General features: G+C 38.8%; 1 long non-coding RNA gene across 2 annotated transcripts in view, besides 1 other annotated feature; it reads right to left on the reverse strand.

Moving 5' to 3' along the window:
* LOC124901586 (uncharacterized) overlaps positions 1 to 8772 on the reverse strand; it is a 52554-nt gene extending 43782 nt beyond the window's left edge. The window contains exons 1-2 of one of the 2 annotated variants that reach the window (XR_007060206.1): positions 8657 to 8772; positions 5688 to 5846 (exon numbers count right to left, since the gene is read on the reverse strand). This is a non-coding gene — a long non-coding RNA (uncharacterized LOC124901586). Of the gene's footprint in view, positions 1 to 5687; positions 6605 to 8656 lie in introns of those variants that run through there. The other variant, XR_007060205.1, reaches the window with a different exon arrangement.
* Positions 6128 to 6177: an enhancer, noted in NCBI's record as "active region_25650". NCBI's record gives its function as "activates an Ori minimal core promoter by ATAC-STARR-seq in GM12878 lymphoblastoid cells {active_cell/tissue: GM12878}" and the evidence as "EXISTENCE:reporter gene assay evidence [ECO:0000049][PMID:35858748]".
* Positions 8773 to 17425: the final 8653 nt, after the last annotated feature.

The following is a 17425-nucleotide window of genomic DNA, read 5'->3' on the forward strand; positions in this document are numbered from 1 at the left end:
ATGGTTTCAGGTAAGTGCAAAGATATTTACAATGAGTTAAAATGGAGTATTGTCACAAAAAAGGACCGTTATTTTATTTGGTCATTCATCAGTTCTTTATTGGGTACCTCTTCTGTGCCAGGAACCCACTGTACTGACATGATACGCACCAAGAGGCTAAGAGGATCTCGTAATCTGATGGGGTGATGGGGGAGGTCACATGCAATACAATGTCTGCAAGTTCTGCCTTGGAGAGAGCCCTGGAAGAGACATTTGAGTGAAGTCCAAAAGATGAATAAGGGCTTGCCATGCAGATATGCACATGCTAGGGAAATGAAATTCACTTTTAATGTTAATTCTCCTGGGAGATGTTCTTGACTCCTTAGTCCAAACCCCTTAATATCCCTATTCTGTGTTCCTATAGCATCTATCTATCACAGGACTTTTCTGTCTGCCTGGCATTCAGTAGGTGTTTAGCAAATGAATGAATAATAAGTGAGTGAGTGAACACATGGAGTGAGTGAATTATGAGTATACAAAAGTCAGAGGTGTGAACCACTATGGCCTATTCTTGGAACTGCATATATGGCTAGAAGATAGGGCATGGGGAAGGAGGGACAGATGTACCGGGATATGAGGCTGGAGAGGTAGGTCAGGGTAAGATTGTGGAGGACCCTATATGCCAATCTAAGAATTGAATTGTATTTATTATTTCAGCAATTTCATGTTGGCCCCCATTCTGTGCCAATCCTGTGTTAGGCTCTGGAGACACAAGATTCAGCCCTTCCCCTTGTAGACCTTACTGTTTCACTGAAGCTACATATATATATATATATATATATATATATATATATATATATATATATATATATATATTTTGTTTGTTTGTTTGTTTGTTTCAGAGACAGAGTTTCGCTCTTGTTGCCCAGGCTGGAGTGCAATGGTGTGATCTTGGCTCACCACAACCTCTGCCTCCTGGGTTCAAGTGATTCTCCTGCCTCACCCTCCCGAGTAGCTGGGATTACAGGCATGCGCCACCATGCCCGGCTAATTTTGTATTTTTAGTAGAGACGAGGTTTCTCCATGTTGGTCAGGCTGGTCTCAAACTCCCGACCTCAGGTGATCTGCCCGCCTCAGCCTCCCAAAGTGCTGGGATTAAAGGCATGAGCCACGGCGCCTGGCCACTGAAGCAATATTAATTGTGGATAGGATATGGGCCCTGGATGTAGACTGCCTGGGTTTTAGTTTTAATTTACTCCATACTAGCTGTGTGGCCTTCAATTTCTCAATGCTTCGGTTTCCTTATCTTTAAAATTGGAGTAATAATAGAACCTACCTCATAGTTACTGTTGTGATTAAAATGAGATAATATGTGTGAAACTTCCTGGCACATAGAAAGTACCCAACAAATATTAAGCACTCTTTTTACTGGGGAAAATGGACATTAAACAAGTAATTAAAAGTGTGATGGGGAATTGCAGAAGATGAGGCCCATAGTGCAAAGACAATGTAATGGTGGCAGGTGGTGGTGTGCTGTGGAAATGATCTGGAGATTCAAAGAAGTACTCTCTAATGGAAGAATGGGTGGAAATGAGACTGGAAAGGAGGCAGCAGCCAGCTCATGGAGAGGGTCAGGGTCAGATTTTGGACTTCATTCCAGGGTCATTGAGAGCCACTGAAGAGATTAAGCATGGGTATGACAAAATCAGAGTTGTGAATTTTTTTGTTTTTGAGACAGGATCTCTTTCTGCCACCCATGCTGGAGTGCATTGGCATGATTAAAGTTCTCTGTAGCCTTGATCTCCTGGGCTCAAGCAGTCCTCCTGCGTCAGCCACTTAAGTAGCTGGGACTTCAGGTGCATGCCACTGCACTTGGCTAATTTTTTTATTTTTTTGGAGAGATGATATCTTGCTGTGTTGCTCAGGCTGGTCTTGAACTCCTGAGCTCAAGCAATCCTCCTGCCTTGACCTTCCAGAGTGCTAGAATTACAGATGTGAGCCACCATGCTTGGCCCAGAGTTGTGCTGTTAATAGATGAAGAGAAGTGGACAGATGTAAGAGATTGCAGGAATCGAATTGACAGGAATTGGTGATTGATTGACTATAAGATGAGAGGGGAAAAAAAAGAATGTAAGATGACTCCCAAATTTCTGGATTGAGCCATTGAATTAATAGTGTGCCATTTACTCAGGATCTATGAAAGGAGGAGCAGACTTTCAGGGGCCGTTGAAGTTGAACTGCCAGTGCAGACGGTGATGGAGCTTAGAATATAAATGGGCATGGAACCTGGATGTGGATGAGATTGTCAAGGAAAACATTTAACAAGAAAAGACAACCAAGATGGAATTCCGGGTGTAGAAGAAAACCCCAGAGTAGACTGAGCAGGAGTACTCAAAGAAGTTGGTTAAAAACTAGGAGATGGTGATATGACAGAAACCAAGGGAGGAGAAAGGAGGGCATGGTCAACATTATCCAATGCTGCTTCATTTTTTAATAAGGATTAAAAATCGCCCACTGGATTTGGCAATTAGATCTCTTATCAGGGTCATTTAAAACTCTTCTAGATCCTGAACACAGTGGTTTCTGAGGATCCAACCACATATTACAGCAAACATTAAAATGCACCAAACTCCATATTAAATTTATGTCATAAAAATTTAGGAGATTAACCTTTTTCCCTTTGAAATTATTACAAATTAAAATGTTCTATTTTCTTCTGTATTTGAGTCAGTCAATTTTTAATTTTTCTAAAATGTTTTTCTAAACATTTTTTTTCAAACATTTTATAGGTTCTTGAAAATGTGGAGGACCTAGGCTGTCATAAATAGTGACCATATTCAGGCTGGGCACGGTGGCTCATGCCTTTAATCCCAGCACTTTGGGAGGCCAAGGTGGGCAGATCGCTTGAGGTCAGGAGTTCGAGACCAGTCTGGTCAACATGGTGAAACCTTGTCTCTACTAAGAATACAAAAAATTAGCCAGGCGTAGTGGGGGCTGCCTGTAACTCCAGCTACTCGGGAGGCTGTCTGGAGAATCTCTTGAACCCAGGAAGAACAGCCTGCAGTGAGCCGAGATCACACCACTGCACTACAGCCTGGGCAATAGAGCCAGACTCTGTCTCAAAAATAAAATAAACAAAACAGATAGACCCACATTCAGAGAAGGCTACAGGGGCCATGGAGTGAATGAGTGATGGAGCCAAGACAGTTAAGTATGAACTTCTCTTTCCCAGACATAGCAAAGAAAGGAAAGAAAGAGATGGAGAGAGCAAAGAAGGCCGTAAAATCCAGGTAGAACATGATTTATTTAAGATTGGAGTTTTTCACATGGCTTAGAAGAAAAATGTAGCAAAAAAAATTGATGACTCAGGAGGGAGTAGTAATATTTGATCAAAATGCTGCTTAAGGAGACAAGAAGAACAGATCCAGAACATAGGTAGGATTCACCTTCTTTAATGTCCCTCTTTGTCTGAATCCAGATGGAAGGAGGTGTAAGAACAGGTGGTGGATAGGTGCTCACATCCTATAGCTATCATTAATAATGAAATGTTAAAATCACAACTCTCTCAAGTAACTGCCACCACCATTTGGCATTGTTCTTCTAAAGATCGGAGACTACAATAATGGCAGCAAAAGGTCCCAGCAGTTAACAACTCTGTTTCATAAATAATTTCAAACTACTCTGTGATGCAGAGTGCTGTGTAGATGCCTGTTGGGGTTTGGCCCCTGATTCCTTTATGAGCCAAGAAGAGTCAATGTACTCTCTCTATAATAGATGTTGGCAGTAAAATGCCCACCTGTGTCAAGCAAATTGATTTGTCAAAAGCACCATCTGATAAATTTGTCGATTTACAGAGAAGGCAGGAGCTTTATGGGAAGTGCATTAACTCTTTGGGGCCCTTGGGGCAACAGAACTAAATCATTGCTGCAGTACTAAATGATTTCTCTAATGGCCCCAAAAGTAAATGCGTCCCCCAAAATCTCAGATGTTCCCAGGTGGTCATTCACCCTCTGAGACTTAAAATGATTACAAATACTTTTCAAGAGCTATATCGGTGGCCCAGTTCTCACTTTGCAGATAGGGGAACTGAAGTTCATTCTAGGCCAGTTAGTAACAGTTTAGAGTAGATACTAGCCAGCTTAAGTGGCCAGCTAATAATTAGCATTGCTGCTCTGACACCAATAGATATTCCAGTGATCATCTCAGTAAATATTTGTCATTTGAAGTGTAACTGCTCACAGTAAAAATACTCCATATTCATTCCCACAGAGTAGACAATTAGCTCCAATAAGATTGACTTATTGAATGTCCTTTTGCAAAAATTTTATTTTAGTTGTGGCTTTTTTTGTTGTTGTTAGATGGTTGTCAATTGTAGAAATAGAAATGAAAACTCAATAAAGAAGATAGGAAAACTTTGTGATAGATGCTGGAAGTAGGTCTCAAATTTCATGAGCAAGTTTATTAAGCTCATACACTGAAGACATTGGGTCATCTTTGGAGGTGTTGCTTAACAAGCCATGAGTGTTTCAGAGCTGAAGGGGGCCTTGAAAGCCTTAACTCAAGAGTGCTTATTTTACAAATGAAAAAATTGTCTCTAAAGTGGCCCAGCCAGGCCTTTTGCCTTAAGCTTGCAAAGTGAGAAAACCTGTTTACATAAAGACAACACAGAATGGGGGTCAGGGACTCCCAAGACTTGAAGACTAGTGGCCACAGAAAGGGGGAGAAAGCATTGTACATGGTTATTATTATTATCCAGATTGATTGTAAAAAGGCCCACCAATTCTTGGGCCTCTTCCCTCAAAAGGAAAAGACAACACATACACACACATGCACACATACACACACACACACACACTCACCTACACACATAAAGCAAAATTAGTTACCAAATGATAAGCATGTAAAACTTGAGGCAAAGAAGTTCTATTCTGGGCTTATCCACCTCTAACCTCAAAGCTTACTTGCATGGCTAACAGCTTTTAGGAACTTCATGACCAGATACTCAATTGTAAATTTCTCTAGAAAGAAAAAAATAAAAGCTACAATAACAAAATGTACTCTGTAAGCACAGTTGAACCTTGAATATTTTTGATGTTGCTTCCCAGTGTATTATGAATGTGTTATTATAAGGTTTACATAGAAGAGCAATGATCTGTGTAATTTCTTGCCTAAAATGGTAGTCTTTTGGTCAGTTGACCAAGAATGAGAACAGCTTAGGGTTCTGGGATTGCATGGAATGAGACATTGGTTTTGTTTGTTTCGTTTTATCTTGTCATTGGCGATTAGATTTAGGACATAAGTGCCAAAATAGGCCATTTTAATCAACATTGGGACTTCCCTGTTAAAATCTTGGCTGAGTTCAGTGAGTTTCACAAACACATAAAAAGCAAGCTTAAATACTGGCAGAGGGTGGCCTGAAAAGGAAATTCAGCTTTCTTGCTGAATATTATTATTAATCAAAATAAGTATAAGGATCAAATAATTATAATTGCATTAAACTCTTTGGGGACTTGAGACTTCTGTCATTTCTATAAACTAAGAATAGCTATTATTGAATTCACTTATGAATCACAATTCCTTACACTTATTTGTCATCTTACACATCACAAAATGCTTTCACCTGTTATGATTTGGTTTGATGTTCACAGTGCAAATGTGCAGGACAGGTATTATTAGCCCCGTTTAATAGATGAGTGAGTTGAACTTACGAATGGTCAAGAGCTCTTTCCATAGGCAACATTGCCTCTAAGATCCTCTTAGCTGTCCCTTTGTGATGAATAATCACTTCTTTGCTCAAGGAAGAACTAGGCCTTCAAAGGTTGCTGTCATTTTATATAAATGTTGACTGAAGGTGTGCACAACCTGACCTGGAAATACAAGAAGTATGTCATTGACATATCTTTATGATATTCAAGCAGGTTACCTTTTTTCTACCAATAATAATTGAAATAAATTAAAGAGAGTACAGATTAAACATATGTTTTCAATTGATGGTGGGAATGTAAAGAGGCTCTTAATGAATTTGTTAACGGCTGTTTCCATTTTGCTCAATGCTCGGTTATCAATGCCAATGAGTTTTGGACTTTGATCATAATAACATTTACCTGTTTCTTTAAAAGCTGTTTTTTTTTTCATACTGAAGGTTACCCTAGTTGCATAGTGCACTTTTGCCAGCCTGATGACGCTTCTGAATGCCTCCAGACCAGTGCTCCCTAAGAATCTGTAAACTATTCTTTTCATGCCAGCTGTTGTGCTCCTTTTATTCCCCCAATTTGCATATGGTGCTTTACTGAACAAGAGAGTTTTTCTTTCGGTTTCACCCAATGCAGGTGTGCAGTCATTCTGTGAGAGCTTTTGTAATTGGCTATGTAAATTATCTCTCAGGTCCAAGGGCCAAAAATATAGTTTTTCATAAAGACAATAAAAAACCACAATATTTATATTTTATTTTTTTTCAGTCTTCTGAGAAAATCTTTCTGCCAGTAGCAACATCACAAACGGCATCAGTCATTGTGGGAAGAGTTGGCAATTATTTTTCTAGCTGGTGTAGGTTCGTAGAAAACAAAAATTTTCAAAAACCATAAATACGTAATAAAATGTATTGGCTTACTTTGCTTTCTGGAAAAGCCCACCAAAATTTCTTTTTTGTATTTACTTTTAAAATCTTCCCAGATACTTAAGAATTCCTGGACTCTATATCCTCTCAGCCACTGTTTTTTATTTTCTCCTGCAGTCATTTTCTATAATATGCACTTATCTCAGACTCAGAACACCAAACTGAAATAGGTGGAAAATTTTTCTTTTTTCCTCAGTTATATTTATGTGTACGGATGCTAATTGGGGTAAAATGAAGGTACTGTGAATCTTCAGACATTATAGAAGATCTGGGCTTGTCAAAATTTAAGTGCCCTTAACCTTTATTAAGTATTGTAACCAGAAGTCCTACAGATATATAAAAGGTCAAATATTTATCATGTGTACAAATCTGACCCCAATAATAATAGATTATTTATCCTACAGCTCTTTTAAAATGTCAAAAATCATATCACATCTCATATAAAGAAAATATGTGATTTTCATGAAAACTAATTTCATTAATTATTCAGATGTCACTAGCCACCAAATTTTAGATGATTTTGGACTTAATTCCTTCTCAATAAACATAAAATAAATTAAACTTTTATTGATATGAACTATTGCTTTACTCCAAATTTTCACAGTCCTTAAATAAAAATATAAAGCAGGAACTCAGACATTTTCGCCAAATGGCTCCTTTCACCCTTAAGCTTTGTTCAAAGTTTTGGCCAATTCTATGAAAGCCCCAAAAAATAAAAAATAAAAACTTTCTCTGCTCTGTCCTTAAAAACTTAGTTTCCAAGTTAAAGTTTATAATCACGTTAAAGTCACTTGACTTTTAATGTTTACATTTTATAGAAAGAAAAAGGAGTATTTGAGTTGGCTTCTAGTAGGTTCCAAATGAGGCAGAGTAGAGCCTTAAATTTCTTGTAATGATCAGAAGGCAATGCATCCTTTTTATTATGTGGTAATCTGTTGGCTGAGTTCAGATTGCCAACCTCTCTGTACCCTGCTTTGGTTGACTAGTTGGCTCACTCCTCTGGATGTTACATAATAGCCTGTGCTGGTAGAGAAGGGGACTCAGACACCAACTTTAGGCTCAGACTGACTTGAGAGAGCCATAGTCTCAATTGGCTTTGCAGAAAAAAAGTCATGTTGTACCATAGACATGAGCAGTTTTTCTAAATTCTGTCATTTTAAATATGTCTTCTGGTCACTTCTCTTAGTTCTCTATTGATCAGGCCACTGGAGAAACATAAGGATTTTTACAAAGTGTTTGTCTTTCCAGGAGACCGCATTCCGGATATGAAAGTATCTAATCCCCACACACTTTCCTAAAGATGGTGCTAAGTCATCTTCCCTCACTCATTCTTGCTGGAGCTCACTCCCATGTTCCTTTTGTAGGTGGCATCTATTTCTTATCCACTGTAAATTGTGCCAACCTGCTTTCTTCAGCAGATTGTTGGTGCTAAATAAATGGTGTGATTTGTAGTAATAATGGTGATGATAATGACTCTTAAAACACCTAACTAATCCCAGTGAACTCTCAGTGATGTTTAGGCTGTGGAACACATGGTTGACTAACAGTGATAATGACTGAAAACGAGGTGATAAATTGCTATGCAGATTGTTGATGGCCTATAATTGCCTTAAAAGGGGGATATTTTATAACAGACTAATCCCATTTAAATAAATGTGTGTGTAGCATTTTAGATATATAGGACTGTATCTGTATTTTTTAATAATAACCAGCTCCCTAAAATACAAGATGCAAAACAACTTAGATAAACACTCCTTAGGTCAAGGGCCATGGGAGGTAAGAATTAAGGTTGTGTTTGCTCTTTCTTGAGTGTTGCATTGTTCCTGGGTCGGTAAGCATAACTTTAGAGACTCCACCAATATAAACACGAAACTACCTAGTTATGAGCCTGTGTTTACACAGTCCGGATCAAAAGCACAGACACTCAGGTTCATTTGCATTTGCTGCCAAAAATGTCCTAATTCTTCTTTTGAAAAGGAGCAATAATTCATATTTTGATGCCATTTACTCCCAAGGTTAATTTATATTTACAAATTTTATAACAGGCCTCATGTTCTTTACCATGTTGCCAGCACTTTCTTTTCTTTTGAGTTGCATTGTTCTTTTCTAAGGAACTGATTGTGTGGCAGATCGTCGGATCATTGCAGGGAGCACAGATGAAAAGCCTGTTATTCCAAAGGATTAAATTGCAATTCTTAGTGAACCATTGCCAAGCGATTTTTTTTTTTTTTTTTTTTTTTTACAAACCCGAGGAGGATTGGAAATAGGAAATGTTATGCCTTGAAAAGGGGTGGGAATGGTTGAATGGATGAGGAAGGACAATCATCCTAGTAAGTGTTATTAAATTCTCTTCAAGTAAAATCATGGAGCAAATAAATGATAAAATCTGTAAAATATCCAAATGGTCAGGAATAATAAGTAACTGAGTTTGTAAAGAAGTAATAATATCATGGGATAGATTTTGATTGAATCTATCCCATGATTCAGTAAAAATTTACTCCTGATTTTTATTGAATGTAGCATGTAGCATTAATACACAAAAATAATTAAAATTCCAGCTTTACTTTAGCATTTTCAGGGTTCAAGGACTATGGGGGCAGAGGACCTAAGATTTGCAAATCACTTCAATACGACCTCTTTGGGGAAGGATAGAATGTAGTAGGAAAAAAACAATGAAAGGGAATCTCTATCTTGGAGCATGATAACTGAGCACATTCCCCAAAATCTGACCTGAAATTAGGAAGAGAAATTAGTTCCGTTTGAGGTTCTAAACACCAGGAAAGTTTCATATAACCTGAGAGGGGACAGGATAAGTAAATTTTGGAAAGAAAACACCATAAAGAAGAGATGTTTCAAAATTCAATTCTGAAATATGTTAATGAACTCAGAGGAAGATAAAGGATTTAAATGCCCAATGTAATGGAGAAATTAGAGTAAGGAGGAAAGAAACTGACAATTTACCGTGTGCTCTTTGCAACAGGCAGCCTACAGGATGCCATTGTGGTTTCTGTTTGTGTATTACTCTGAGAATCAAGAACAAACTCCACATGAAATGCTGTAATAAAGAGTTGAAAAATATGCACTGAAAGTATACCATGTTTCAGGCACATATCAAGCATGATGGTACATGCTTGGGATTAAAAAGATGGATGAGATACAATACCTGCACTCTAAAAGTTCATAGTATTTGGGAGAAAAGAGAGACATACAAGAGGATGATTGCAGTCAAAACATTGGAGCAGATGCTACAAGGATATGTAATACAAATGAAGTTCAAGAATCACAACTTGCTTTGCCTGGGAAAATCAATAAATGCATTGAAAAAGGGGTAGTGTTTGAGTTGGGTCCTGGAGGATGAGTAGTTCTTCAGGCACAAAGAAGACAGATGCAAAGGATAAGGTGCATGCAGTGTGATAAGTTCAGAGTTGCCTGGGTTGAAGGAGTCAGCAGGAGAGGAGTTTGGAGGTTGGTGGGGTTAGGCTATTGAGGGCCTTTTGTAGTTGCTGAGGGGTTTAACTTTAACCAGTTAGGTGCAAGACAGTGTTACCAGCTTTAAAACAAGAGAATGATCCAATCAAATGTGTGTCTCAGAACAGAAGCTCTGGCAGGGAGGGATAGGATGAGGCTGAAGTCTGCAGGTAGCAGTCAGGAGGCAGTTGCAGCAGGGACAAAGGGGAGATGAGAGATCAGATTCCATAGATAGTTTGGAGATGATATGAGTAGATCTTTGGGAGATATTAAATGTTAGGAGTGAGGAAAAGGAAAAGTTGAAGGGGTTTGCAGCTCCTAAGGTTGTGATACCACTAACTGAAATAAAGAACACTGCAAAAGGAATACATCATTTATGTCTACAGCAGGGCAGTATGGGGGGTGGCATGCAGGGAAGGCTAGCAGATAGGTTGTTAAAATCCTGCCTGTGTAGTGGAGAAGACTACAGCTTGGAGAGAACCAACCAGAACAGTGTTCTTACCCTGCCCCACCCTATTGTGTCCCTGAGGAGAATCATGGGTCAAGAAACATTTGATTGGAATTTTGCTAATTTTTTATCTATTAAAAATGCTATTTATTTTTATTGATTTATTTATTTGTTTTTTTGAGATGGAGTTTCGCTCTCGTTGCCCACCCAGGCTGGAGTACAATGGTGTGATCTCGGCTCACCACAACCTCAGCCTCCTGAGTAGCTGGAGTTACAGGCATGCACCACCACACCACGCCTGGCTGATTTTGTATTTTTAGTAGAGATGGGGTTTCTCCATGTTGATCAGGCTGGTCTCAAACTCCTGACCTCAGGTGATCCGCCCACCTCAGTCTCCCAAAGTGCTGGGATTATAGGCATGGGCCACTGCACCTGGCCACAAAATGCTATTTTTAAAACAGGCACATTCAAGCCTGCCATGTACTGAATATTATTACAATAGAGACCAACAACATGCCAACTCGTCTCAGACTAACCTAGAATGTGGCTCTCAGAACAAATGAAGTTCCCTCTCATTACTTATAAATGGAATAGTGTCCTGATATTACAAGGCAACTTGTTTAAAAACTCATATTTTTACCATTTCCAACAGCTTATTTTTGTTGTCAAGAAAATCTCAATACTATGCAACTAGTAAGAAATCACAGAAATATCAAAACAGTCTTACTTTTCCAATTCATTGATATGCATAAATATGATAAATTTAAACTAATGAAATGTTTATGAAATATTCTTATTTATTTCTCATAGTCTATCTGATATATTAATAGTTTGGATATTTGTTGCTGCCCAAATCTCATGTTGAAATATAATCCCCAATGTTGGAGGTGGGGCCTGGTGGGAGCTGTTTGGGTCATGGGGGCACATCCCTCATGGCTTGGTGCTGTCTGCGTGGTAGTGAGTGTGTTCTTTCTGGGCCCATTCCCTCTCTGCTCCTGCTTTCACCATGTGACATGCCTGCTCCCAATTTGCCTTCTGCTTTGAGTAAAAGCTCCCTGAGGCCCCCCTCAGAAGCCAGGCAGGTGCCATCACAATGCCTCCTGTACAGTTTGCAGAATCATGAGCTAATTACGTCTCTTTTCTTTATAAATAACCCCGCCTCCGGTATTTCTTTATTTCAACACGAGAACGGCCTTACACACCATCGTATATGGATTGTGATTATTCATAAGATTTCTTTGGGTTCTACTTCTTAAAAAGTTTTAAAAACACTGAATATAAAGTATATATTACATTTATTTCTCCTGAAATTTATTTCTCAGATTGTTAATCAGGTCTTCAATTTTTGGACTCATTTAAAATTCTAAAATTGTTCTTTTGCTCTTTTCACACACATATCCATATTCTTCTTCTGGCTCGCCACTTCTCCTTCTGAGCTTGGGATTTATGCAAGACAATAACGGGAACAATCTGATATGGCAGCATAATAACCAACCAAAATATGTCTTTTCTGTTTTTCATTTTGCTTGATCATGACAACATCAAAATGCAAGAATGGGTGAACTGTTTTGAAGTCTAGGTTTTGAAAACACTTGTTTGCTGGTGTGGATGTGTGTGCATTTTTATATTTAACATTAATAGCAGCTTTCTCTGTCATTTTTACACTTTCGTTTCAAAAACAGTGGCCTGGACAGATCCTGGCAAAATACATTACGTGGTTATGGTAGCAGCTAAAATGTTTGTGGAAGAATAAAAATGTACATTAATACAATTTACACTTATTTTATTAGTTTATGTAATCTTATATGAGCAAGAATCAACTCTTCTGTTGTATATAACTTTTTAATATGTTATTTGAACTTCATCAACAGCTTCTTGATTGGGTCTCAAGCATTAATCAGGCCCCTCACAAGTACTATGCGAGGCTTAAACATCTTGCATCCATCATAAAGAATAAGTAGGACCATAATGACTAATCACATTAGCATAATTTAAAAATGCAGAGCGTGAATAGCTTTTTTCCCCAAGATTTGTAGTAAAAACATATGCACAATAAGACTGAAATGATTCATTACACCATTGACTTGTTTATATTATAACATATTTATGTGCCCGGCAGAATGAAACCATAAAACTGCCATTAATGAGTACAGGAAAGAGGTTCTGTTTTTAACTAAATTACATGAATTCATAATGAATACATTTTAAAAAAATTATTTTAAGGAAGGGATCTTGCTATCATGTTGTGTCCTTTTGGGACATTACAAAACCCATTCTCATCATAGATCTTTTTTGTCATCTACACTTTGCACTTTTCACTTAGGCTATAAGTAAATTTAGCAATTTATGAACAAGTTTCTGCCCTTAAAGCCAAACAATAAGTTGCAGGTGGAGTCACTTCGTATTGCAGAAGCAAACAGCTAAAGGAAAATGTATTCTTAGGGGAAAAAACAAGAACAAAAACACCTTTTTCTTTGTAGCCACTTACAAATAAAAAAAATCTTGCCACCCCAATGGATATGAGTTCACTGGTCCCCTCTCGGAACTTTGGGATGTCTGCTTTAGGATTGAATTTGTCTGCTAAATACTATTTATTGAGTGTCAGGCACTGAGCAAGATGCTTCAGAGGCAACAATGAAAAATGACAAACATAGTAGTGACTTAATTGCCATTGCCTTACCATCTGGTAAGAAAAGCAGAAAGAGAAACAGACATTTAAATTATAGTATAAAGATTTTATCATGGAAGAACAAGCAAGGCGTCCAGGTGCAAGGACAGTGTTGATACCTGAAGGTAAGCAGGAGTTTGCCATGTGAAAGGGCATGAGGGTTAAACAGAATTATTCCAGGCAGAGGGTAGTATTCTATGTGGAATGTTTAGGGAACCGAGAATAGTCATTATCAAATAATTGTTGAATACATGTTGACTGCATATAGCTAAACCATAAATCCCAAGAAAAAATATAGCAAGAGATGAAGCTAGACAGTATTCAGGGGTCCAGATTTATTCACTTAACCATATTCAGGAGCTAGGGAAATATCAGTGTGCAAGATAGACATGGTATTTTCTCTCAGGGAGCTTATTGTTTAGTTGGGGAAACAGATAAAAATAATCACAATAATAATGTCAAATTGTAATGAATGCAATGAAGAAAACAAACAAGTTGCTAAGAGACAATAACAAGAACTTACTTTAAATGGGATCAGGATGATACCTCTGAGGAGGTGAGATTTGAAGAATGAGAAGGAGTCAGATCATGAAAGTCTGGGGAACCTTATTAAGGAGCTATGGCTTTATCTTGAGAGTTACGCATGTTTAAAGATTTTAAATAGGGGAAAGATGTCATCAATTTGCATTTTAGACAAATCACCCTGGCTGCTATGCAGAGTCTGGAGATGAATAAGTCAGGAGGTAGGGAAACAAGTTGGATGGTGTATTTGTCTGTTTCATTGCTATAAACGAATGCCTGAGACTGGGTAATTAATAAAGAAACGAGGTTTATTTGGCTCACAGTTCTGCAGGCTATACAGGCATGGTGCCAGCATCTGTTCAGCTTCTTGTGAAGCCACAGGAAGCTTACAATCATGGTGGAAGGCAAGGGGGAAGCCGGCATATCACATAGTGAGAGACGGAGCAAGAGAGAGAAGGAGGAGGTGCTAGGCTCTTTTAAACAGCCAAATCCCGTGTGAACTCATAGAGTGAGAACTCACCTGTTATGGTGAGGACAGCATAAAGCCATTCATAAGGGATCTACTCCCATGACCCAAACACCTTTCACTACACCCACCTTCAACATTGGAGATCACATTTCAGCATGAGATTTGGGGGGGACAAACATCCAAACTATATCAGATAGCTTTTCCAGGAATCTGGGTGAAAGATAATTTCCTAGTGCTAGAATATTTTAGTCACTGTGGTATTAGGCAGGGATAATATTAAAATACTTAGCTATTTTGGCATAAACATTGATCCATCAGAATGGATGCAAGCCTTAGCACTAGAGCAGAGTCTTCAGGTGTCTGCTAGACCAGGCTGGATGGGGCACGTGGACCCCAGAGGTGGAGCCAGCACAACAGGAGCTTAGGCCAGCAGTTCTTTAAAACAAATATGGACATATTTCAGTATTTTAGCAACAGATGCTGCTATACCAGCCTAAGAATTAGGTATAGAGAGCCAGGGAAATATCCAGGAGATGATTAGGAAACAGAAGGCTTACGTTTTGGTAATGCGAAAGAATGCCAAAGGGAGGAGTTAATGATTAGGCTCTGGTTTCTGCTTGGGAAACCAGGTAAACTCATGTATGTATTTATTCAATCATATTTGCTCAGCACTTTACATTTAAGACATCTATCTGAGAGACTTGCAATATCAAGTGGGCAATTGGATATATGAGTAAGGAAATGGGGGAATGATCTGGGCTGAAAAAGTAAATTTGTGAGTTTCCAGCATAAAGATATCATTTAAAGCTATAGAGTAGATGAAGTCCCCTAGGGAGAGAAGCAATAGAACCCAGGACAGAGTCCTGAGCAACTCCATCATGTAGTTTGTGAAGAGGAGAAGGAGCCTTTGATGATTGACAAGTATTCCTGCTGAAGGAAGGAAATCAGTCTTGAAAGGTTTCAGAAGATGAGTGGAGAGTATTTCCAGAAGGAGGAGTGAGTGGCTGGCTGTGTTGAAAGCTGTGTAGAGATTGAGTAAGAAAGAGAAGACTGGAGTCTCTGAGGGATTTAGCAACATGGAGATCGTCGGTGACCTTGATAAGGACAATTTTAGTAGGTGGTGAGCGCAGAGGTCGGACTATCTAGAGTTGAAGGTAAATGAGCAGTGGAGAAAGAGAGCTGGTGAGTACAAAACAACTTTTTGCGGTGATGTGGGCTTCTTTGATTTTTATTTAGGGGAGGGACTTGAGCAAGTTTAATTGCAAGTGGGGGAGCCATTGAGGTATTTCGATAGATTCTAGGGGTGTACAAACTAGAGCTCCTGTCTATTTTTGTAAGGAAAATTAGAAGACAGCCACCCTCATTCAATTATGTATTGTTTATGACTGCTTTTGTGCTACAAGGGCATAGTTTAATAGTTGTGATAGAGACCTATGGCCCACAAAACAAAAATGTTTACTCTCTGGCTCTTTATAAAAAAAAGATCGCCAATCTCTGGATTAAGCTAAAATATTACGTGCCCTTGCCCATTTAATTTCCCCCAGGAAACCCAAATAAGTACATATGTATATAAATGCATGCATAAGCACATAAACCAAATAAAGAATTTGTTTCCCAAGGCAAAAGTGCGATGGAAATTCTCTCTAGTCAGTTTACCAATTTATCAACAAAAAAGAGAAAAAGACTTTGCTCTTCTGTCGATAATACACTTATAGCTGTTGTTGACAATAGAAATTAGCCTATTGTAGTCACCACTACATACCCAGTACCTGGTGCTGAGCCTGACACATGGTAGGTGTCCAATACATATTGTTTGAATCAAGGAAGGAAAGGTACCAGGTGCTGTACTACATGATTGCTTGGAGCAAGAAGCAGAGGATCTTTCCTAGATTTGGGTAGATAGCGGAGAATTCCCAAGGTAAATGAGCTTATATGGAGCTATCCCAGTGAGGTTTGTGGAACCTGGAATAAATCACATTCCTTTAGAATTAATTTGAGAGGTGAATGGGGGAATGGGTTGGGGAGATGAAGTCAAAGCTCATGTCAAGAGTAAGCTCAATATGGAAACAAAGTCACAAAGAGGCAGTGTGTAGCTTGGCTGCAAGAAAGGGCCATCCCTGCAGCTCTTTATTTGTTGCGGTGAAACAGCAAATAGAGATGAGCCAAATTTATGTATAGTCCAAGCCAACTTATCCCTCAGGAGTGGGACCAGGAGTTGGTCTGTTAAAAAGTAGGTTAAAGCAACAAGTCAAAAAATGCGATTTTCCACAAACATTTTAACTGAAAAAAAAAAAATGTATATGTCATCAGTTTTCCAATCCTTTGACATAGGGGCAAGGCCTTTTCTTTTCTTTCTTTCTTTTTTTTTTTTTTTAATTGAGACAGGGACAGGGTCTCGCTCTGTCACCCAGGCTGGAGTGCAGTGGTGTGATCATAGTTCTCTGCAGCCTCGACCTCCAGGGCTCAAGCGACCCTCCCACTTAGCCCCCCAAGTAGCTGGGACTACAGGCACATGCCACCACATCTGACTAATTTTTAAAATTTTTTGTAGAGATGAGGCTCATTATATTGCCCAGACTGGCCTCAAACTCCTGGGATTAAGTGATTCTCTTGCTTCAGCCTCCCAAAGTGCTGGAATTACAGGCCTGAGTAACCAGACCTGGCCAGCAAGGCCTTTTCTTTGAGCACAGGACATCACAGAACATCACTCTTGAATAAAGCACAACTCCTACATATTAACTAAGATTTAAAGTATGGATTTCTTTAAAGGAGAGTGAGAGCTTATAGAGAAATGGGAAGAAATCTGAGCACAGCATCCTTCTAGATTTTTTTCCACAATCTTTTTGCAGCTGTATTACTCACACTTTGTGATGCTTTCAACTTGTTTTCATAGAAACAGCTCTTTTGCCTTCACATTTTATTGATTTATATAATATTTAATGAAATCACATCATTATTATAATAAAATACAACTATCATAAACAGATTTAGGAAATAAGAACTGCTTCTCAGGGAGCACATAATTCCTATCAGAGAGTAGCCTGCTAATTTTGTTCTGTGTTGGGGAGCATTATGATACAAAGGGAATAGAGACTCACTGATTCTGGTGAGTCCAGGAAGGGAAAGCAGGTTAAGACTGTTGTCGGCAAGGGTGGTACAAGCACGTTACAGGCAACAGCTGGTGCTCCTTGAGTCACTGACAAGCTGCCAGAACAGCTAGGTCCCCTGAATATTGACCTGGGGCAGCTGTACCAA

The sequence above is a fragment of the Homo sapiens genome, chromosome 7 (genome assembly GCF_000001405.40).
Source record: "Homo sapiens chromosome 7, GRCh38.p14 Primary Assembly".
Lineage (NCBI taxonomy): Eukaryota > Metazoa > Chordata > Mammalia > Primates > Hominidae > Homo > Homo sapiens.